General features: G+C 44.0%; 1 long non-coding RNA gene and 1 pseudogene across 1 annotated transcript in view, besides 3 other annotated features; one reads left to right on the top strand and one right to left on the bottom strand.

Moving 5' to 3' along the window:
* The window catches only part of LOC124903193 (uncharacterized), a 53,667-nt gene that overhangs the window by 5,690 nt on the left and 23,710 nt on the right, over window positions 1-24,267 (top strand). The window lies entirely within an intron of this gene.
* On the bottom strand, window positions 4,945-5,350 carry MEMO1P5 (MEMO1 pseudogene 5; annotated as a pseudogene).
* Window positions 12,753-12,872: a silencer, noted in NCBI's record as "silent region_5441". NCBI's record gives its function as "represses an Ori minimal core promoter by ATAC-STARR-seq in GM12878 lymphoblastoid cells {active_cell/tissue: GM12878}" and the evidence as "EXISTENCE:reporter gene assay evidence [ECO:0000049][PMID:35858748]".
* Window positions 18,297-18,346: an enhancer, noted in NCBI's record as "active region_7876". NCBI's record gives its function as "activates an Ori minimal core promoter by ATAC-STARR-seq in GM12878 lymphoblastoid cells {active_cell/tissue: GM12878}" and the evidence as "EXISTENCE:reporter gene assay evidence [ECO:0000049][PMID:35858748]".
* Window positions 18,627-18,676: a silencer, noted in NCBI's record as "silent region_5440". NCBI's record gives its function as "represses an Ori minimal core promoter by ATAC-STARR-seq in GM12878 lymphoblastoid cells {active_cell/tissue: GM12878}" and the evidence as "EXISTENCE:reporter gene assay evidence [ECO:0000049][PMID:35858748]".

Here is a 24,267-nt window from a genome sequence, read left to right as displayed (position 1 = left end):
ACTAAATATACAAAAATTAGCCCGGCATGGTGGTGCACGCCTGTAATCCCAGCTACTCAGGAGGCAGAGGCAGGAGAATCACTTGAACCCAGGAGGCAGAGGTTGCAGTGAGCCAGGATGGTGCCACTGCACTCCAGCCTGGGCAACAGAGAGAGAATGTGTCTCAAAAATAAAAAATAAATAAAATAAAGGAGCTAACTTGGTAGCTTAACCAGAAATTATTGAGCAAAGCACAACTTTATTTAATCCTTTGTTCAAATCACAAATTCAAAATAGTGATATTATTGTAAGCTCTTCAAATTTGGACGAGAGCAAACCTCTTGGGGATTTCGACATCCTTTCTCACTAATAGTTAAACAAGACCTTTTTTTTTTTTTTTGAGATGGACTTTTGTTCTGTCACCCAGGTTAGAGTGCAGTAGCACAATCTCTGCTCACTGCAGCCTCTGCCTCCTGGGTTCAAGCGATTCTCCTGTCTCAGCCTCCTGAGTAGTTGGGACTACAGGCATGTGACACCACACCCAGCTAATTTTTGTATTTTTAGTAGAGACAGGGTTTCACCATGTTGGCCAGGCTGGTCTCGAACTCCTGACCTCAGGTGATCCACCTGCCTAGGCCTCCCAAAGTGTTGGGATTACAGTTGTGAGCCACCATGCCCAGCCACAAGTCCTTTTTCTTTAACTTGTATTTTAGGTTTGGGGTACATGTGAAGATTTGTTGTATAAGCGAACTGGTGTCATGGGGGTTTGTTGTACAGATTATTAAGTCTCTTTTAGGAGGCTGTTGTAGTTCTGTAGGTGAAAGATGATGGCAGCCCAGGACATGTGGTGGCAATAGAGAGAGGCAGAGTTAAGACAGTTTGAGGCTGAATTTAATTTAAAATGTTTCCATTAAAAAGATAGAAGCTGGGTGCAGTAGCTTACACCTGTAATCCCAGCACTTTGGGAGGCCGAGGTGGGTGGATCACCAGGGCAACTTGGTTAGCTAGGTGTGGTGGTGGGCGCCTGTAATCCCAGCTACTCAGGAGGCTGAGGCAGGAGAATCACTTGAACCTGGGAGGCGGAGGTTGCAGTGAGCTGAGATTGCACCATTGCACTCTAGCCTGGGTGACAGAGTGAGACTCCGTCTCAAAAAAGAAAGAAAGAAAGAAACTTAAGAAAGAAACAGACGTAAGGCAGTGACCAAAGAGGGTTGTACATTTAAAAGAGTTTGTTTCTGTTTTAAGACAAGAAAAACTTCTCCATGTTTGTGTGCTCATGGGTATGATTCAGGAAAAGGGAAGAATGTGATGATGCAGAAGAGAGATTGGGGAAAATGGAAAAAAAGCCAAACTATTTTTTTTTTTTTTTGAGACAGAGTCTCGCTCTGTTGCCCAGGCTGGGAGTGCAATGGCGTGATCTCGGCTCACTGCAACCTCTGCCAACTGAATTCAAGCGATTCTCCTGTCTCAGTCTCCCTAGTAGTTGGGATTACAGGCATCTGCTACCATGTCTGGCTAATTTTTTGTACTTTTAGTAGAGATGGGATTTCGCCATATTGGCCAGACTGGTCTCGAACTCCTGACCTCAAGTGATCCGCCTGCCTCAGCCTCCCAAAGTGCTGAGATTACAGGCTTGAGCCACCGCATTTGGCCTTTCTTTCTTTCTTTTTTAGAAAAAGCCAAACTCTGAACAGGCGAGAAGGAGTGGGATTCCTATTGGGAGCTTTTGTGGAGGCAATGGGCCTTTGTCAGGGAATATGGGGAGGGGCTGTGGCAAACTCACCTGAGCCAGTTGGTTATGCACAATCTTGGTTGAAAGAAATTACACCAGGTCAGGGCTAGCCAATCGCCCACCACCCCCACACACAAAGGCAGAATGAAAGCAAGCCTCTGATAGAGACATTTGTTAGACAGTCACTAGCCAAGCAGGTACAAAGCAGCTCACGCCACCAGCTTTGCAAACTCAGTCAACTCCCGGCTCCCTGGCCCTGTAGGATTAGGAAGCTGCATTTTTGTCCATGTTCCTTGCTACTGGCCCATCAACTCCAGGCTTGGGTGTGGTTTGCTTTGGCCAGTGAAGTGTGAGTGGAAGTGATATGTGTCACTTCCAAATGGAGGCTTTAAAGTCCTTCTCTTGGTTCCACCATCATCCTCGCCCTCAGCCTTGAGACCAGCATTTCCCAGAGAGGGACTGCTCACTCAGCCTTGGATGTAGAATGAAGAGGACACAGAGCAGGGCCTTGGTGGACCTGCAGTCAACATGCAATAAACTTTGGTTGTTGTAAGCCACCTTGAATTGGAGGACTGTTTATTACCACAGCGTAAGCTAGCTAAGGCTGACTGATACATAGGAATTCCAAACTGTATATTCCAACTCCATGAAGGATTCACTTGAACAACTTTCTGCAGGCAACATTCTGTGCCTTCTATTTGGTATCATGAAATCAGAAAGCCCCCTGATCCATTGGCTGGACACAGGAATGTCTCCTCTTGCAATGGGACTTTTTACAGGAGCCCCATCTGTAATAGCTTTAGGCTGAAGTTTTCAGTGGATGCTTTTACTGTATTCATGTAAGGCATATAGGTGTGAGTGTCAGGGGTCTTTTTTAGCTGTTTTACTTGGTCCACACATCTTGTATACCTTAACGTCCCCCAAAAAGCAGCCCTTTCTAACATCTATCACCCTAATTAACAAGCCAATAGCTTTGCCAACAAAATCCCTCTTCTTGACATCTAATACATTAGTGAAGGGTCAGCTCTGGACTAAGATAGGGACAATATAACAATTTGTTGTAGTCACCTTGGAGTATGGCCCTCTCAAATATAATTCTGGACGTGCTGCACTGGGCCTTTTTTGCTTAGGAGCTCTGTAACCCTTTATCAGCAACAAAAATAAACAGTATCTATTGGTTGGGAGCGGTGGCTCATGCCTATAATCCCAGCACTTTGGGAGACTGAGTGTTGCTTGAGCCCAGGAGTTTGAGACCAGCCTGAGCAACACAGCAAGACCTGTCTCTACATTAAAAATAAAAATAAAAAATAAGGTATCTGTTGTACAACATGAGTAATAGTTGACAACACCAAAAATGTATTATATGTTGACACAGATAATTTTATTTTATTTATTTATTTATTTTGAGACAGAGTCTCACTCTGTTGCCCAGGCTGGAGTGCAGTGGCACAATCTCAGCTCACTGCAACCTCCAACTCCCGGATTCAAGCAATTCTCCCTGCCTCAGCCTCCCAAGTAGCTGCGATTACAGGCACCCGCCACCACACCCAGCTAATTTTTTATTTTTAGTAGAGACGGAGTTTTGCCATGTTGGTGAGGCTGGTCTGGAACCCCTGACCTCAGGTGATCCGCCCACCTTGGCCTCCCAAAGTGCTGGGATTACAGGCATGAGCCACCATGCCCGGCCGACGCAGATCATTTTAAAATGCCATTTCTTTATTAACATATCTGTCCCAGCTGGGCCTTTACGTCCATCATTTTTTAAATGGAAATATTTTGATGCTAGTCTTCCTTTCCACTACCCTAAACAAACGTGGCATTTTTCTAATGAGTAGCCATTAAAAAAGGACTACATCTCGAAAAAAGAATATTTCCATTAGTTTGAGGCTTCAGCATCCTCCAGGAGCAGCACCGATGCCTCTGTGAGGTTCAGGCTGGGAGTCATCTTGGTGTGGGGTGGTGCGGGTGGCATCCCAGAAAGATCAGTGCCTCTATGGACCTGTTCCAACCACATGGCTCACAGAACTGTCTTGCCATTTTCCACACACACTTGATAGGCATCATTCAAAAAGGAGAAGCTCATGTTGGGGCTCAAAAACCAATACCCCAAAATAGGATGCTTTGTACATGCTGAACTGAAAATAGGGTGCTTTGTACATGCTGAACTGAAAAAAAAACTTCAAGATCTCTCTGTCCTCTCCCCCAACCCTCCTCCATCTCTCCCAAAGCATTGGACGGAGTTGTTCTCTAGAGTTCCCTTATTTGCCTAAATTCTGGACCTAACAAAGAAGAAAACAATTAACTCTAGTCCCTTCCGTGAAGTTTTTCCCCCAGAAGCATTCTGGTTTTCCTTTCCTTTCCTTTCCTTTCCTTTCCTTTCCTTTCCTTTCCTTTCCTTTCCTTTCCTTTCCTTTCCTTTCCTTTCCTTTCTCTCTCTCTCTCTCTCTCTTTCTTTCTTTCTTTCTTTCTTTCTTTCTTTCTTTCTTTCTTTCTTTCTGTCTTTCTTTCTTTCTTTTTTGAGATGGAGTCTCACTCTGTCACTCAGGCTGGAGTGCAGTGGTGCAAATGTGGCTCACTGCAGCCTCAACCTTCCAAGCCCAGCAATCCTCCATGTCAGCCTCCCAAATAACTGAGGCCACAGGTTCACACCATCAAACCCAGCTAAGTTTTTAAGTTTTTTTGTAGAGACATTGTCTTGCCACATTACCCAGGCTGGTCTAAAACTCCTGGGCTCAAGCGATCCTCCCATCTAAGTGTCTCAAAGTGTTGGGATAATAGGTGTGAGCCACCACACCAGGCTGCTTCCCTCGATTTTCATTAACTGAACCCATAGAACAGGAATGAAGATTAAAGTCTGTCAACAAACCTGGATGGACTCTTGTCACCAACCATTATCCACTCTATGGGCCCAACAGACTTTTCCCAGACCACCGTATACTCTTGCAGCCCGCCAAATCCTCCCTAGGAATCATGCATTGCCCTGCAACAGAACTCCCCTTCTCCTGCTCCCATAACCTGTTTTGCCAGGACTCAAACCCCCGTTTTTTTTGTAACCTCAAGATGGTATCTAAACTTCTAGACTCCAAGGGGGAGTTGGGTCTTCATTCTAAAGGCTCCTATGCCACATAAAACTGTGATCAAATAAATTTATATGCCTTTTATCCAATAGACCCGGCTTTTGTGAGTTGATTTTTCAGCAAAGCTTCCAAGGGTGAAGGGCAAGCTTTCCCTTCACCGCTGCATTCATATTCACTCCACTCTTCTGGAGCTCCGTGACAGCATGTAATAACATCCACTGTAATGGCCTCCATAAGTTATATTATGGGATTCCTTGAAGTAATTGCTCAAAGATATGGAGCCCAATTTTTCCCTAATACCAATACTTATTTTACTTAGATGTCCAGTGGGTCCACAACTCTCCCCCTGGGTTTCATTTTAATAGCTCTGCTGGAACTTTTGAGCCCAATGGTAAATGTCAGAAGAGCCTCAGAGAGATTATTAGGATCTCTAGGTATTAACTGAAAAGTTTTGCCAGATTCTGTTCTGTTGGTTCACACTGAGCTCCACCTAGTTCAGGAATAACAATAAATTCATTTTTGTGGTTTTCCACAGCTTTAGCTGAGTAAGAAAATGTACTTCATTGGTGTCTTCAGCTTTGTAATGGGTTAATTTGTGTCCTCCCAAAAGACACATCAAGTTCCTAGCCCCCAGTACTTCAAATGTGACCTTATCTGGAAATAGGGTCATTGCATATGTAATTAGGTAAAATGAGGTTATACTAGTGATATAGTTTGGGTCTGTGCATCTGCCCGAATCTCATATTGAAATGTAATTCCTGGTCGGGCACAGTGGCTCACACTTGTAATCCCAGCACTTTGAGAGGCTGAGGTGGGAGGCTCACGAGGTCAAGAGTCCAAGACCAGCCTGGCCAATATGGTGAAACCCCATCTCTAATAATAATACAAAAATTAGCCGGGTGTGGTGGCATGTGCCTGTAGTCCCAGCTACTTGGGAGGCTGAGGCAGGAGAATTGCTTCAACCCAGGAGGTGGAGGTTGCAGTGAGCTGAGATTGTACCACTGCACTCCAGCCTAGGCAACAGGGCAAGACTCCATCTCAAAAAAAAAAAAAAAAAGTAATTCCCAATGTTGGAGGTAGGGCCTGGTGGGAGGTAATTGGATCATGGGGGCAGGTTTCTCATGAATGATTTAGCTCCACCCCCCTTGGTACTGTCCTTGGCCATAATGATTGAGTTCTTGTGAGATCTGGTTGTTTAAATGTGTGTAGCTCTTACCTCGCGCTCTTGCTCCTGCTCTGGCCATGTGACTGGCCGGCTCCCACTTTGCCTTCCACCAGGACTGTAAGTTTCCTGAGGCCTCCCAGGAAGATAAGCAGATACTAGCACCACACTTCCTGTACAGCCTGCAGAACAGTGAGCCAATTAAACTTCTTTTCTTTATAAGTTATCCAGTCCCAGACCAGGCACAGTGGCTCATGCCTGTAATCCCAGCAGTTTGGGAGGCTGAGGCGGGCAAATCACTTGAAATCAGGAGTTTGAAACCAGCCTGGCCAACTTGGCAAAACCCCATCTCTACTAAAAATACAAAAATTAGCCAGGCATGGTGGTGCATGCCTGTAATTCCAGCTACTCAGGAGTCTGAGACACGAGAATCACTTGAACCTGGGAGGTGGAGATGGCAGTGAGCCCTGATTGCACCACTGCACTCCAGCCTGGGCAACAGAGCAAGATTCTGTCTCAAAAAAAAAAAAAGTAAGTAAATAAATAAATTACCCAGTCTCAGGTATTTCTTTATAGCGATGTGAGAACAGACTAATGCAACTGGAGTAGGGAGGTGCCTAATCCAGTATGCTTGGTATCCCTATAAGAGGGAACTTTGGACCTAGATACACACAGGGAAGATGATACAATGGAACAGGAAGAAGATGCCCAAGTGAAGATGAAAGCAGAGACTGGAATGAGGCATCTACAATCTAAGAAACAGAGAGATGCTAGAAACCAGGAGACGCAAGGACCTCCCCTGTAGATTTTAGAGAAAGTGTCGTCCTGCTGACACCTTGAGCTCAGGCTTTTAGCCCCCAGAAATGGGAGATAATTCTCTGTTGTTTCTTTTGTTTGAGACAGTGCCTTGCTCTGATACTCAGGCTGGAGTGCAGTGGCCTGGTCTCAGCTCATTGCAACCTCCACCTCCCAGGCTCAAGCAATCCTGACACCTCAGCCTCCCAAGTAGATGGGACTACAGGTAAATGCCACCACACCTGGCTAGTTTTTATTTGTATTTTTTGTAGAGACAGGGTTTTGCCATGTTACCCAGGCTGGTCTCTGTTGTTTTAAGCCATCCAAGTGTTTGGTATTTTCCTACAGCAGCCACAGGAAAAGGATACAACCTTCATTGATCTGCAGAGACATGGGTCTATGCCTTCCGTGGTTGACCTAAACCATGATCAGTAGGAAGGCCATACAGAGCAACACATGGAGGGAGTGGGGGTAAGGGAGGGAGTGAAGATGGGAAGGCCAAGAATAAAAATTCTCCAGGTGATGGATGGATCCACTCCAATGTGAACATCAGCAGCACAGGAGTCTGATGACTCCAGCAGGGTTTGGAGGTCCTGAGGCTATGCCAGCTTCTGGGGACCAGGTGGTGTGTGTCTTGGTGCCTGCATGCCTCCCTCTCTCCACCACATCCCGTCAGCGCTCCTCATGCCCACCACAACCAGGTCTGGGCCCCTTGACTGTGCAAGATGGCATGTTACTAACCACACTTAGAATGAAGTTTAAGCTGACAGGCACATGCATAACATCACATTGATCATATGGGAGTTTTACAATGTGAATTGCAGACATCAGGATAAGGGAGGAAGGGGATGGGGGTGCATGTGAAGGCTTGAGGAGAGAAGAAAAGGCCTGAGAGAATTACTTTAGGGAGTGGGAGAGTGAACTTATTAGTGAAGCATTGTACAATTTCTGGCTACTTAAAGCCCATGTAAAGTTTATGACTGTGTTTCTAAATAAGATCAGTCTGCCCAGATGGGTGAATTTTTCATTAAAGTTCATCTGCAGGCGTGGACACAGTGGAGTTGCTGTTACGTAGAATTGGGTTTTTCTTCCAGAGGGAAAGAGAGGAAGTTGAGAGTGTTTGCCAGGGAGTGATTATAACTCTGGGTTGCAAAATCCTGGCTGGACACTGTAGAATGAGATGATGGATTAATGAAGAGACATCTCAATGAGGCCCAAGAATTGTCCCTGTGGGTACCCAGGCACAGTAGCTCATGCCTGTAATCCCAGCACTTTGGGAGGCTGAGGTGGGTGGATCACAAGGTCAAGAGATCGAGACCATCCTGGCCAACATGGTGAAACCCCATCTCTACTAAAAATACAAAAATTAGCTGGGCGTGGTGGCGAGTGCCTGTAGTCCCAGCTACTCAGGAGGCTGAGGCAGGAGAATTGCTTGTACCTGGAAGGCAGAGGTTGCAGTGAGCTGAGATTGTGCCATTGCACTCCAGCCTGGCAACAGAGCGAGACTCCATCTCAAAAAATAAAATGAAATAAAAAAATTAAAAAGAATTGTTCTTGTAGGTATCCTGGAGCAAATAAATTGGAAGGATAGGAGATGGGATGGAGAAGGAAATGTCTGACTTTGAGATTTCTGAGGTGGCACACTTTCTGGTGATGACAAGATCCAGGGTTTGGCAATGGCATTGGGTGGCTGAGATAGATGGAGTGACAGAAAAGGTTGCTATTGATGAGATGGCTAAGGAAAGGTGGGGCTGGCATGTAAATAGTAGCAGAAATTGGGGCAGAAAGGCAGTCAGGAGTGTACTTTTCAGTGATCGGGGACAGTGTCTGGGAAGCTGCTTGATACAGAAGGCGGAAGGGGAGAGGAGGGTGTAGTTGATGATCTGAGCATTAGGAGAGCTGGGATCATTTTGCAATAAGGAAAGGGAGAGGCCAGGCATGGTGGCTTACCTCTGTAATCCCAACATTTTGGGAGGCCAAGGAGAGATTTCTTGAGCCCATTAGTTCGAGACTAGCCTGGGCAACATAATAAGACCCCGTCTACAGAAAAAAAAAAAAAGAGCTGGGCATTGTGGCATATTATACCAACCCCCTGACTTTTTTCTGAGCTTTTTCCTTTTTCCACATTTACATATCCACACTAACAGGTTATATGGTATCCATGTAAGAAAAGGGAAATTTGAACCCAACACACACGGACAGAAGGTGATGCAATGAAACAGGAAGAAAATGCCCATGTGAAGATGAAGGCAGAGAGGAGGCACATGCCTGTAGTCCCAGCTACTTGGGAGGCTGAGGTGGGAGGATCGCTTGAGCCTGGGAGGTCGAGGCTGGAGTGAGCCATGATCACATCACTGCACTCCAGCCTGGGTGACACAGTAAGACCTTGTCTCAATAAATAAATACATAAAAATTTTAAAAGAGAGAAAGGTCTGCAAGGCTGGGAGGAAGGGCGCTGAGCCCATCTTGGGACCTGAGATGAGTGATGTGTATAAAAATGAAAGATAATCTCTTGAGATGATTATGAAGGAACTAGCTGTTCTGGAAATGAGGTGAGGGCTCTATGGGACAAAAGGTGGGAATGTATAGAAATTTGCTGGACACAGAGCAGGTATTCCAGGAACTCAGTGGATGGGTTGAAGAGTGATGAGGATGGGAACTGGATGACATCAGAGGATGAATGGAGCAGTTTGGGGACAACACTTGTTTGTCCTAAGAGACACCAGGATGTGAGTCCTGACTTATTTGTAGCCCAGTTTCTCAAAAGATTTTTCTAGAGTCATGATGGCACCAAGGGATGGGGATTCTGCTCTTCAGGTTGCTTGGAGGTAAGGCAGGTGATCAGGAAGACCTCTGACTCCGAATTTTCTGGGGACATGGTGGTCAGCGTCCCTTCCTGTCACCCCCAGTTCTGCTTTGCTGCTCCCTCCCTCCCATTCCTGCCCCTCCACTGTGCATTTTCCAATTTTTCCTACCTGCTTTCTTTTTCTAGCTGGTCTCTCAAATATATCTTTTTATTTTCAGTTCTCTTGCTTCCTCTTCTTGATAAGAACAAATACAGTAACAGATTCATCTGTCGTTAGCATGGATGTATGATTGTGGAAAAAGGAAAAAGCTCAGAAAAAGTCAGGGGTGGGGTGAGAGAAAAATCGATGGAGAATATACAAGTGGCCACAAGCCTATGAGAAGATGCTCAACATCACTAATCATCGGGGAAATGCAAACTAAAACCACAGTGAGGCATCACGTCATGTCAGGATGGCCATTTTCAAAAGCATAGAAAATACCAAGTGTTGGCAAGTGTGTGGATAAATTGAAGCCCTTGGGCACTGTTCGTGGGAATGCAAAATGGTGCTGCCACTGTGGAAAACAATATGGAGGTTGCTCAAGTTAAACGTAGAATTACCACATGATCCAGCAATTCTACCTCTGAATATATTGCAACAACAGGATCTCAAAAAGATATTTGCACACCTTTGTTCACTGCAACAGCATTCACAATAGCCAAGAGGTGGAAGCAACTCAAATGTGCATTGATGGTTGAATGGATAATGAAAATGTGGTATGTTCATACAATGGAATAATATTCAGCTTTAGAAAAGAAAGAAATCCTGTCATAAGCTACAACATGGATGAAGCTTGAAGGCATTAAATGAAACAAGCCAATCACAAAAACATAAGTGCTGCATAAAGCCACTCACATGAGATGTATAAAGTAATTAAACTCAGAAACAGAAAAGTAGAGTGGCGGTCTCCAGGGGCCAGAGGGAGAGGAAAAAGGGAAGTTGTTCAATGGGCATAGAGTTTCAGTCATGCAAGATGAAGAAGTTCTAGAGATCTGTTTTACAACAGTATGCTTATAGTTAACAATACTGAAAACTTAAAATTGTTAAGAAGATAAATTTATATTGTGTTCTTTACTGCAATTCCAAAAAAGCAACAGAGGCTCATACTACAACACGGATGAAACTTGATGACATTATGTTAAGTGAAATAAGCCAGTCACAAAAGGACAGATACTGGATGATTCTACTCACATGAGGTACCTAAGAGTAATCAAATTCATAGAGACAGAAAGTAGAAGGGTGGTTGCCAGGGACTAGCAGAAAGGGATAATGGGGAGTTATTTATGCAGGGAAGGGGGAATGGGGAGTTAACAGGTACAGAGTTTCAGTTTGGGAAGATGAAAAAGTTCTGGAGAGGGATGCAGTGGTGGTTGCATAACACTATGAATATACTTAATGCCACTGAAACATAAGCTTAGAATGGTTAAAATGAAAAATTTTATTATGTATGTTTTACTATAATTTTTTTAAAGGAAAAACAAAACAAAACAAAACTGTGGAGGCCCTCCAGAAAGCCTAGATGAGACGATTTATAGATGGCAGAGAAAATACAAAATAGCAGGAAGAAGCGAGGTATAGGCACCACACTCTGCCCATCCCCATCACTTTCCATGTCTGGTAATTCCTTGTCTTGAGCTCATTCGGTTTGGAGCCAGAAAACCTTCTAGATTCCATGAGCACTAGCTTTCCCCCACCACCGCTCCCCCTGTGTTTTTTGTGTGCAGACGTCGTTTTTCTTCTCTTGCAGGAAAGCTTGCCAAACTAAAGAACAGGCAATTAAGAACTGGTGTTGTTAACAGATTATTTCTGTTTTCATTCATAATAACAGAGCTTCCAATTTCAATATGGAAACAACATCTTGATTTCTACAATAAATCCAAAACACAGAAAGAATGGAATTAATTGAAGATCTCCTTTGGCCTTTGCCCAAGTTGGCTGTGGGAGAGTTTGGCAGGGTACAGGAACATCTCTTGGAGAAATCAGCTGACACAAAAAAATCCATGCAGCAGAGCTCCCTAGGGAAGGAGATCAAATGAATTCAGAACTTGATTTAGGCCAGACCTGGTGGCTCATGCCTGTAATCCCAACACTTTGAGACACTGAGGAAGGAGGATCGCTTGAACCCAGGAGTTTAAGACCAATCTGGAAAACATAGCAAGACCCTGTCTCTATTAAATAAAGATAACAAAATAAAACATTTTTAAAAGAAAAAAAATATTGTGAACCTAGACTGGAATAAATATTATACACACACACACACACACACACACACACACACACACACACATATAGTAAAGTAGAGTGGTGGTTTCCAGGGGCCAGAGGGAGAGGCAAAAGGGAAGTTGTTCAATGGGTGTAGAGTTTCAGTCATGCAAGATGAAGAAGTTCTAGAGATCTGTTTTACAACAATGTGTTTATAGTTAACAATACTGAACACTTAAAATTGTTAAAAAGATAAATTTATATTGTGTTCTTCATTGCAATTCCAAAAAAGCAACAGAGGCTCATACTACAACAAGGATGAACCTTGATGACATTATGTTAAGTGAAATAAGCCAGTCACAAAAGGACAAATACTGGATGATTCTACTCACATGAGGTACCTAAGAGTAATCAAATTCATAGAGACAAAAAAATTATATATATATATATAATTGACATGAAGTGTCACTCTTGTTGCCCAGGCTGGAGTGCAATCATGCGATCTTGGCTCACTGCAACCTCTGCCTCCTGGTTCAAGTGATTCTCCTGCCTCAGCCTGCCAAGTAGCTGGGATTACAGGTGCCTACCATAATGCCCGGCTAATTTTTTGTATTTTTAGTAGAGATGGGGTTTTACCATTTTGGCCAGGCTGGTCTCGAACTTCTGGCCTCAAGTGATCCACCCACCTCAGCCTCCCAAAGTGCTGGGATTAAAGGTGTGAGCCACCATGCCTGACCAATAAAATACATTTTTAAAAAGGAAGAAAAATAAGAACTTGATGCAAGGATCACATGGGAACGTGCCAAAGACATTGCTAGTAGCTGCAGCAAAATGCCTCCCACACCGAGAATGGAGAAAAGAGACTCCTACAAACCTCACCAAGGGCTGTTCCTGACTTTGGGGAATGTATCCTACTCACCCATTTATGACCACCTTTTTCCTACAGAGATGTAAGCACCTGATGAGTTCTTCCTGCCCACTGCACAGACAGATCAACCCACTGAGACTGAGGCATTGCAGTAAAGAGTTTAATTGACATGAAGCCAGCACACATGTGAGAACTGGAGTTATTACTCAAATCTGTCTCTCCTCCCTCCCAGCGCCTACCAAAGGTTCAGGTGTTAGAGGTTCTTTTTTTTTTTTTTTTGAGATGGAGTCTCCCTCTGTCGCCCAGGCTGGAGTATAGTGGTACAATCTTGGCTCACTGCAAACTCTGCCTCCCGAGTTCAAGCAATTCTCCTGTCTCAGCCTCTCGAGTAGCTGAGATCACAGGCATGTGCCACCACACCCAGCTGATTTTTGTATTTTTAGTAGAGACGGGTTTTGCCATGTTGACCAGGCTGGTCTCAAACTCCTGACCATAAGTGATCCACCTGTCTTGGCCTCCCAAAGTGCTGGGATTACAGGCATGAGCCACCTCACCCAGCCTAGAGGTTCTTATAGACAATTTAGTGGGCAGAGGGCTAGGGAATGGGCACTGATGATTGGTTGGGGATGAAATCATAGGGGTGTAGGAAAGGGTCCTCATGTGCCAAGTCTACCTCTGGATGGGGCCAGTCACAAAAGGACAAATACTGGATGATTCTACTCACATGCTGAGTCATGACTCACAAGTCTGGGTGGGGTCAGTCTGAAAAACATCTCACAAAAACCCAATCTTAGGTTCTGCAATAATGAAGTTATTTATAGGAGAAATTGAGAAGGTCACCAATCTTGACCCTCTGGCCACATGCCCCTGGAACAGCAAAGGATTATAAAAAGTCCTCCTATCGTGTGACCTCTGGCCATGACCTGAGCAGTAAGGGCTTACAGAAACCACACTTATTTTAGGACCTCTTGTTAGTCTTACAAAGGTGGTTTCAGCCCTGAAAACAGGGAGAGGATTCATTTTAGAGTGGACTGTCATCATCCTTGTTTCAAAGTTAAACTATAAACTAAATTCCTCCCAAAGTTGGCTTAGCCTACACCCAGGAATGCCCAAAGACAGCCTGAAGGTCAGAAGCAAGATGGAGTCAACCATGTCAGATTTGCTCACTGTCATAATTTTGCAAGGGTGGTTTCAGAGATACAGCAAATTCCTCATTGCCTTCCCCAGAAGATCGAGGCTGAGGCCAGCAGAAGATCACCATGCCTCTGCAACCAGCCTCCTGATGTTTGAGTGGACTTATGCCTAAGAGTGGGAGACAATGATGGAGAGAGTTTGAATGAGAGCTCCCAAGCCTCCTAGCAGATCCTCCCCTGTCCACTTCTGCCATCATCTCCGCCCTTCTCTTCCCATCTGCCCTTGTATCCTGCCCGTGGGCTTCAAATGGATTCAGGACTTCTCCAGAGTTCTACCACAGACTCAAAATCATTCTGAAGTGAACTTATACGTGGTTTAAAAGTATGTTTCTTGATATTTGAGCAGCTTTACCCATAAGAGCAAGTGAAGGAGGGGAGGGGACAGAAATGGGATGAGGGTCAGAGGTATTGATTTGTTACTTCTCTCTGCTTTTAAATTGGGGTATGGGGCATGGAACATGATGCAAAAACAATCATCATAGCGTTTTTGCCAGAACCAGGCCCCCTAAAATTGTGACAGGTAGGAAAAGTTGCCATGACCACCCCTCCCAATGCTCTAGGCCTCCCTTAAAATTAGTTTTAATTGTTTGGTTTTAAATGTTGGATAGATGCCAGGCACGGTGACTCACACCTGTAATCCCAGCACTTTGGGAGACCGAGGAGGGTGGTTCAACTGAGGTCAGGAGTTCAAGACCAGCCTGACCAACATGGAGAAAACCCTGTCTGTACTAGAAATACAAAATTAGCCAGCGTGGTGGTGCACATCTGTAATCCCAGCTACTGAGGAGGCTGAGGCAGGAGAATCGCTTGAACCTGGGAGGTGGGGGTTGCGGTGAGCCGAGATTGCGCCATTGCGCTCCAGCCTGGACAACAAGAGCGAAACGCCATCTCAAAAAAAAAAAAAAAAAAAAAATTATGTCTTGGGCTGCTTTTGGTTAGAAGGGAAATTCCAGTGAGGACTCTGTTGCCCTCACTATCTGCCCAAATAATTTCTTTCTACCTCCGGCATAATTATGTTTATCATGATTTATTGTCATTTTAAATCTTATTTGACCTGGGAGCCCCTGCTTTTCTTCACTTCTGGAACATGCTCAATTTCTCTTCAAAAATTACCATTTTAGGTTGGGTGCGATGGCTCACATCTGTAATCCCAGCATTTTGGGAGTCCGAGGCGGGCAGATCACCTGAGGTCATGAGTTTGAGACCAGCCTGGCCAACATGGCAAAACCTTGTCACTAATAAAAATACAAAAATTAGCCAGGCATGGTAGCAGGTGCCTGTAATCCCAGCTACTTGAGAGGCTGAGACAGGAGAATTGCTTGAGCCTGGGAGGCAGAGGTTACAGTGAGCCAAGACCGTGCCACTGCACTCCAGCCTGGACAACAGAGTGAGATTCCATATCAATAATAATAATAATAAAATAAAAGTAAAAAATACATTGTAATATATAATGAAATAATTATACAACTTAACATTATGTAGAATCAGTGGGACCCCTGAGCTTGTTTTCTTGCAACTAGACAGTCCTATCTGGGGGTGATGGGAGACAGGGACAGATCATCAGGCATTAGATTCTCATAAGGAGGGGGCAACCCAGATCCCTCACAAGCACAGTTTGCAATAGGGTTCGTGCTCCTATGAGAATTTAATGCCCTGCTGATCTGATAGGAGGCGGAGCTCAGGCAGTAATGAGAGTGATAGGGAGCAGCTGTAAATACAGATGAAGGTTCGCTTGCTAGCTCACCACCCACCTCCTGCTGTGCAGCCCAGTTCCTAACTGGCCAGTGGCCCAGGGGCTGGGATGCCTGGTGTACAGAACTCCAGCCCCAACATGCTAGAGAGGGTAACAGAGAGAGAAAGGGTGGGTTTAGGGCTAAGAGATACTAGATTACTAATTTTCCCTTCTCCTTTGACTATGCCATACCCTTCTACTCATATTTGAATCCCAATTTGCATCCTATAATAGTTTTGTGCTTTTTAAAAAGTTGTAGTAAATTATACAGCACATAAAATTTGCCATTGTAACCATTTATTCTTTTTAGCGATGAGGTCTCGCTATGTTGCCCGGGCTGGTCTGGATCCTCCTACCTCAGCCTCCAGAGTAGCTGGAATTATAGGTGCACATCACCACGCCCAGCTCATCTTAACCATTCTTAAATGTTCATGTTAGTGGCATTAAGTACATTCACATTGTTATACAACCATCACCACCATCCATCTCCAGAACTTTTTTATTTTCCCCAACTGAAACTCTGTACCCATTAAACAATAACTCAGTCTGTCTCTAGTTTATGTTAATTATTTTCTAGTTCAGTCATCATCCCACTGGAATATTCTTTTGTTTTTTGTTTTGTTTTGTTTTGTTTTTAAGACAGAGTCTCACTCTGTCACCCAGGCTAGAGTACGGTGGCACAATCTTGGCCCACTGTAGCCTCTGCCTCCCGGGCTCAGCCAATCCTCCCACCTCATCCTCCCTGAGTAGCTGAGACTACAGGCATGTGACACCACGCCTGACTAATTTTTGTGTTTTTAGTAGAGATGGGGTTTCACCATATTGGCCAAGCTGGTTTCAAACTCTTGGACTCAAGTGATGCGGGCTCCTTGGCCTCCCAAAGTGCTGAGATTACAGGCATGACCCACAACGCCCAGCCTGGAATATTCTTTTACCTAAAGAATAGATTATAAACTTAAACTCCATCAATAATTCTTATATAAATAATAAGTGTATAACAAGCAAAGTAGAAAATATGCATAGCTGCTACAGTCCTCATTTTTGTAACTGAGCATAAGGCTTTAGTTGATATTTATAATTTTTTCAACTACCAATTTTGTCTTCTCTTTGACCACAGCAAGGAACACAGCTAGCTGGGATTCTTTACCTTATGGTGTGACATAAACCTTCATTCTTGATGAATCAGAATCCTAGTCACTCAGGCTTCATTGAGTTGATGCAATAATTCTTTTAACTGTTACTACTGGACTTGGAGGTATTAAGAATCATTCAGAGGGCAGGCACGGTGGCTCATGCCTGTAATCCCAGTACTTTGGGAGGCTGAGGCAGGTGGATCACCTGAGGTCAGGAGTTTGAGACCAGCCTGACCAAGACGGTGAAACCCTGTCTCTACTAAAAATACAAAAATTATCTGGGCATGGTGGCGCACACTTATAATCCCAGCTACTCAGGAGTCTAAAGCAGGAGAATCACTTGAACCTGGGAGATGGAGGTTGCAGTGAGCCAAGATTGCTCAATTTTTTTTTGAGACTCTGTCTCAAAAAAAAAATCATTCAGAGAGGTTTTTGGACTTAGTCTTCCCTGCTCCACTATGTAGTAACAACTCTACGTCTTCTTGTAATTGGAATTAATTACTCCAGTCAGTAATTTGCCTCTTTCTTTGCATATTGGTTCAGTGACATAAAGAGTCCCAAATAGTTGGTTCACTTGGAACCAATAATGTGTCCCTTGGTGGAAGCATTCTTCTCTTGGAAATAAAGAATGACCCGTAAGGCCAGGCACAGTGGCCTTCACCTGTAATCCTAACACTTTGGGAGGTCAAGGCAGGAGGATTGCTTGAGTCCAGGAGTTTGAGACTAACGTAAGCAACATGGCGAGACCTTGTCTCTACAAAAAATTAAAAAATTAGCTGGGTATGATGATGTGTGCCTGTAGAGTCCCAGCTACTTGGGAGGCTGAGGTGGGAGGATCATCTGAGCCCAGAAATTTGAGTCTGTAGTGAGCCAAGATTGTGCCACTGCACTCCAGCCTGGGAGATAAAGTGAGACCTTGTCTCAAAAAAAGAAAAAAAAAGATGTAAAAAAACACAAAAATATTCAGGAGCAGGAAGCAAAACTTAGGACTACTAAATTTAACAGTGAGAGGAGCTATTCCAACTTGTACCACTTGATTCCTGGACCTGTATTCTGACTATGAGAGAAATATTATTTTGATTGCTGGTTCAAAGCACATGCCCCATCACATAGAACAGACTCCAACTAACGGGGTGTTTTCACCCTGGAAAAGGAGCCTAGTCTTCTCAGAAATGGGAGAGAAGCGTGATTCCACTTGCAATGGGTATTCAGGGCCTTTGGTGTTTCTCAAGATTTTTATATTCTTCCAAATCCACACAAATATCCCCAATTCTCAGCCAGCTGCAGTGGCTCACACTTGTAATCTCAACACTTTGAGAGGCGGAGGTGGGAGAATCGCTTAAGCCTAGGAGTTCTAGAGACCAGCTTGGGTAACACAGGGAGACTGTCTCTACAAAAAAAAAAAAAAAAGGAAAAAATGTTAAAAAAAAAAAATTGGCCAGGCGCTGTGGCTCACGTCTGTAATCCCAGCACTTTGGGAGGCCGAGGCGGGTGGATCATTTGAGGTCAGGAGTTTGAGACCAGCCTGACCAAGCTGGTAAAGTCTACTAAAAATACAAAAATTAGCTGGGCGTGGTGGCCCTCGCCTGTAATCCCAGTTACTTGGAAGGTTGAGACAAGAGAATCACTTGAACCAGGGAGACGGAGGTTGCAGTGAGCTGAGATCTCGCCACTGCACTCCAGCCTGAAAGAGCGAGACTCTGTCTCAAAAAAAAAAAAATTTCTCAAGGTCTCAGTTCTCAATTTATGCCCCAGTTTCCACATGAGAAAAAAGGGAGAAGCTGGCAGGAACCAGCAGGTGGCACCAAAGGAAACCTCTGGCTGCCCTCGCTGCTCATTAGCGTTAAGACACTCCCATCAGCCCATGACAGCTTACAAATGCCAGGGCAAGGACCCAAAAGTTACCGCCCTTTTCCTAGAAAGTTCTAAACAACGCTCTCCTCAATTTGCATTAACCCACTCCTTAATTTGCATATAGTCGAAAGTGGGCATAAATATAGTTCCCAACAGCCCGTACTCTGCAGAGGCTGGGGACACTGCCCATGAGTTATCCCTGCTCCACAAGGAACAAGACCATTCAATAAAAGATTGTCATCTGATACTACCGGCTTGCCCTTGAATTCTTTCCTGGAGGAAGCCAAGAACATTCCTAGGCTAAGCCCCAGTTTTGGGGGTTCCTTGTCCTGCATCAGCTTCTAAATCAGTTTATCATAATTCTGCAACCTCGGCCAGGCACAGCGGCTCACGCTTGTAATCCCAGCACTTTTGGGAGGCCGAGGAAGGTGGATCACCTGAGGTCAGGAGTTTGAGACCAGCCTAGCTAACATGCGAAACCCCATCTCTATTAAAACTACAAAAATTAGCTGGGTGTGGTGGCACGTGCCTGTAATCCCAGCTACTCAGGAAGCTGAGGCAGGAACCCAGGAGGCAGAGGTTGCAGTGAGCCCAGATTGTGCCATTACACTCCAGCCTGGGCGACAGAATGAGACTCTGTCTCAAAAATAAATAAATAAATAAAAATTTAAAAAAATTAATTCTGCAACCCAAACCACCAAAACTTGGGTCTTTATTAGTCCTATGGCTACCAGAAACCAGAGTTTGTTTGTTTGTTTGTTTTTGAGGTGGAATCTCGCACTGTCACCCAGGCTGGAGTGCAATGGCACCATCTCGGCTCACTGCAACCTCCGCCTCCCAGGTTCAAGCGACTCTCCTGCCTCAGCCTCCCGAGTAGCTGGGACTACAGGTGCCTGCCACCACACCCGGCTAATTTGTATTTTTTGTAGAGACGGGGTTTCACCATATTGGCCAGGCAGGTCTCGAACTCCTGACCTTGTCATCTGCCTGTCTCGGCTTCCCAAAATGCCAGGATTACAAGTGTGAGCCACTGCACCTGGCCGAACAAATTATTACTATTATTATTATTTTTTTTGAGATGGAGTTTCTCTCTGTTGCCCAGACTGGAGTGCAGTCATGCAATCTTAGCTCACTGCAGCCTCTGCCTCCCGGGTTCAAGAGACTCTTCTGCCTCTGCCTCCCGAGTAGCTGGGACTACAGGGGCATATCACCAAGCCTGGCTAATTTTTGTATTTTTTAGTAGAGATGGGGTTTCACCATGTTGGCCAGGGTGGTCTCGAACTCCTGACCTCAGGTGATCCACCTGCCTCGGCCTCCCAAAGTGCTGGGATTACAAGCATGAGTCACCGTGCCCGGCCGGTCATTTCTTTTTATACCATTCTGGTACCAAACACTGTATCAGTTAGTATCCAGTCCAGAAAAACCTGACGATATGTATTTCAAAAACCATTCTTCTGCACTGAATAATATTAAAATCCCAGGTTTCTTAAACACTGCAGCAGGCTGGTAGGAGAGTGTGTGTGAAGTTATTCCAAGAAGAGCAGGGCACACTGGACTTCTGGTTAATGGAATAGGTGGGTACTCCATTCTGGTTAACGGAGTAGTGTTTTGATGGAAAAACGAAAGTGGTGTGACTGTATTTGTACTTGGACTTGACACCTTCAACAACTTGCCTCCTATACTGGAGGCCCACTGAGTCAAGCTCTTTCATATAAATTACTCCTGCTCTTTTTGTCTCATCCAGCCTTTGGTGCCTGACACACATGCCTTTCAAGCATAGGAGCACTTGAAACAGGGAATTGGTTACAAAAAGGGTTAGGAGACCTATAGGAACAAATGGGGAAGGGTGGTGTCACCCTGCAGGCAGCTGCTACTGCTCCTGGGCTGGAGGAGCTTACAGGGACAGTTGTGTTATCCAGAGCCCCAAGCCTACAGCCAGGCTAGAGCTGCCCTTTATATTTACAGGGCAGGACACTTGGAGCCTGGGATTGCTCCCTGTTACTGATACCCAACAGCAACCCATGGCCCAGAACTCCTGCCAACACCTCTGCCAGAAACAGAATTGCACAACCTTCCTCCACTTTCTAATCTGGATGGATGCCTCTCATGGCATCCATCAGAATTCACCGGTCAGGTGAGTCTGAGACATATAGTTTGCATACTTTCAGCCTCAGTGGTAAAGGAAAGATTACAGCATGGCAGTTATGAGGCTGAATATCAACAATTTCTAGAATGCAAGGCAATTTAGGGCACGTCCCCATTTATTTTGTGTAGAGAAGGTGTGCAATGTGTAAATGGTTTACAATGGCAGTATATATTTTGGTTGAAAACATTGGATTTGTTAGGCCACTGTGGAGAGTTCTTGTGACAATACAGATTAGGATCTTGTAAAATGTTAATAATAAATTTTAGAAGTGTTAATAAGGCAGTCTGTAAAGCTGGCAATTTAGCCACTTTGCTGACAAATTAGCTGTTAATTTCTTTGGTGAGAAATAACCAGGCAAGTGCACAATTATGGGAGGGACTAAGTTAATGAGAAATATTACTTTCTGGAAGCACATTCACAAATTTTCTTTCCAAGAGTTGGTTAAAAAAAAAAAAAAAAAAAAGCTTGGCCGAGCACAGTGGCACACCTGTAATCCCAGCACTTTGGGAGGCCTAGGGAGAAAGATCGCTTGGGGCCAGGAGTTCAAGACCAGCCTGGCCAACATAACGAGATTCTGTCTCTACAAAAATAAAAAAAAACCTAGCTGGGCATTGTGGCTGGTGCCTGCAGTCCCTGTTATTCAGGAAGCTGAATGGGAGAGGATCACTTCACTTGAGCCCAGGAGTTAGAGGTTACAGCAAGCTGAGATCACACCACTGCACTATAGCCTGGGTGACAGAGAGAACTTGGCTCAAAAAAAAATATATTGTGCAGTTAGAGGAAACAGTATAAAAAAGAATAAAAATTCTGGGCACAGTGGCTCACACCTGTAATCCCATCACTTTGGGAGGCTGAGGCAGGTGGATTGCTTGAGTTTAGAAGTTTGAGACAAGCCTGGGCAAGATAGTAAGGCTCCGACTCTACAAAAAATACAAAAATTAGCCAGGCGTGGTGGTGCACACCTGTTGTCCCAGCTACTTGGGGGGCTGAGGCGGGAAGATTGCTAGAGTCTGGGAAGTTGAGGCTCCAGTGTGCCATTATTACACCACTGCACTCCAGCCTGAGCAACAGAGTGAGACCCTGTCTCAAAGAAAAGAACAAATAAATAAATAAAATAAAAATAAATTAATGAGATCAAAATGGAGCAAGAGTCATCTAATTTGGCAGGAAAGTCATCCTTAAACCAGGTTCCCAAAGATAATTTTATAAACGATTATGCCCTTCCTACTCTCTTCTTTTCCATTCCTGAATTACTTCATTTAGAATAATGGCTTCCAGCTCCATCCAAGATGCTACAAAAGACATATTATTCTTTTTTTATGTCTGAGTAGTATTCCATGTTGTATATATACCACATTTTCTTCATCTTTGGTCAATGGACACTTAGGTGGGTTCCATATTTTTGCAATTGTGAATTGTGCTGCAATAACATTACACATGCAGCTGTCTTTTTTATATAATGACTTCTTTTCTTTTAGGTAGATATCCAGTAGTGAGATGGCTGGATCAATCCCACGGATAGATTTACTTTTTCTTTTTTTATTTTATTCTCCTGGACTCCAAAGGCAGATAGATCTACTTTTATTTTTTAAGAAATCTGCCTTTTCTTTTCTTTTTTTTCTTGAGACAGAGTCTCTGTCTGTCTCCCAGGCTGGAGTGCAGTGGCGTGATCTTGGCTCACTGCAACCTCCACCTCCTGGGTCAAGCGATTCTCTTGTCTCAGCCTCCCAAGTAGCTCGGACTACAGGCGCATGCTCTCATGCCAGCTAATGTTTGTATTTTTAGTAGAGATGGGGTTTCACCATGCTGGCCAGGCTGGTCTCGAACTCCCGACCTCAAGTGATCCACCCAGCTCAGCCTCCCAAAATGCTGGGATTATAGGCATGAGCCATCATGCCCGACCACGTATTGTTTTCCATAGAGATTGTATTAATTGGCCGGGTGCAGTGGCTTACGTCTGTAATCCCAGCACTTTGGGAGGCCGAGGCGAGTGGATTGCCTGAGGTCGGGAGTTTGAGATCCCCCTGACCAACATGGAGAAACCCTGACTCTACTGAAAATATAAAATTAGCCGGGCGCCGGGCATGGTGGTGCATGCCTATAATCCCAGCTACTTGGGAGGCTGAGGCAGGAGAACTGCTTGAACCCGGGAAGCGGAGGTTGCGGTGAGCCGAGATCGTACCATTGCACTCTAGCCTGGGCAACAAGAGCAAAACTCTGTCTCAAAAAAAAAAAAAAAAAGAGAGAGAGATTGTATTAATTTACTTTCTCACTAACAGTGTATAAGCGTTCCCTTTTCACCACATTCATGCTAATATCTATTGTTTTTGGACTTCTTAATAATGGCTGTTCTTGCAGAAGGTGGTACCTCGTTGTGGTTTTAATTTGCATTTCTCTTATGATTAGTGATGTTGAGCATTTTTTCATATATTTGTTAGCCATTTGTATATCTTCTTTTGAGAAATATCTATTCACGTCTTTTACCCACTTTTTGATGGGATTACTTGTTTTTTTTCCTTGCTAATTTGTTTGAGTTCCTTGTAGATTCTGGATATTAGTCTTTTGTCAGATGTATAGTTTGCAAATATTTTCTCCCATTCTGTGGGTTATCTGTTTACTCTGGTGATTATTTCTTTTGTTGTATTAAAGCTTTTTAGTTTAGTAAGGTCTCATTTGTTTATTTTTTGTTTTGTTACGTTTGCTTTTGAGTCTTAGTCATTAATTCTTTGCATAGGTCAATGTTCAGAAGAGTTTTTCCTAGGCTTTTCTTCTGGAATTTTTATGGTTTCTGGTCTTAGATTTAAGTCTTTGATCCATCTTGAGTTGATTTGAGTTTATTTTTGTATAAAGTGAGAGACAGGGATCCAGTTTCATTCTTCTACATGTGGCTTACCAGTTTTCCCAGCACCATTTATTAAATAGGGTGTCCTTTCTGCAATTTATGTGTTTGTATGCTCTGTTGAAGATCAGCTGGTTGTAAGTATTTGGTTTTATTTCTGGGTTCTCTATTGTGTTCCATTGGTCTATATGTCTACTTTTATATCAGTACCATGCTGTTTTGGTAACTATAGCCTTGTAGTGTAATTTGAAGTCGAGTAATGTGATGCTTCCAGATTTGTTCTTTTTGCTTAGGATTTCTTTGCATTTGGGGTCTTTTTTGGTGTCATAGGAATTTTAGAATTGTTTTTTCTAATTCTGTGAAAAATGATATTGGTATTTTGATAGGAATTGCACTGAACCTGTAGATTGCTTTGGGCAGTACAGGCATTTTCATGATATTGGTTCTTACAATCCATGATCATGGGATGGGTTTCCATTTGTTTGTATCATCTATGATTTCTCTCAGCAGTGTTTCGTAGTTCTCCTTATAAATTGAAGATAACTTTCATTCATTCATTCAGCAAATATTTGTTAATCTTCTTTTATATACTAGGCTCTGCTGTAGATGGCAAACAAAACAAGGCAAAGTCATAGCTCCTACAGAACTCATGTTCTAGTGGAGAGATAGACAATAAAGAAGACGCACGGATAATTTCAGATAATAACTA

This window comes from Homo sapiens, chromosome 13, assembly GCF_000001405.40.
Source record: "Homo sapiens chromosome 13, GRCh38.p14 Primary Assembly".
Classification (NCBI taxonomy): domain Eukaryota; kingdom Metazoa; phylum Chordata; class Mammalia; order Primates; family Hominidae; genus Homo; species Homo sapiens.
This window is presented reverse-complemented; position numbering and strand designations above follow the sequence as displayed.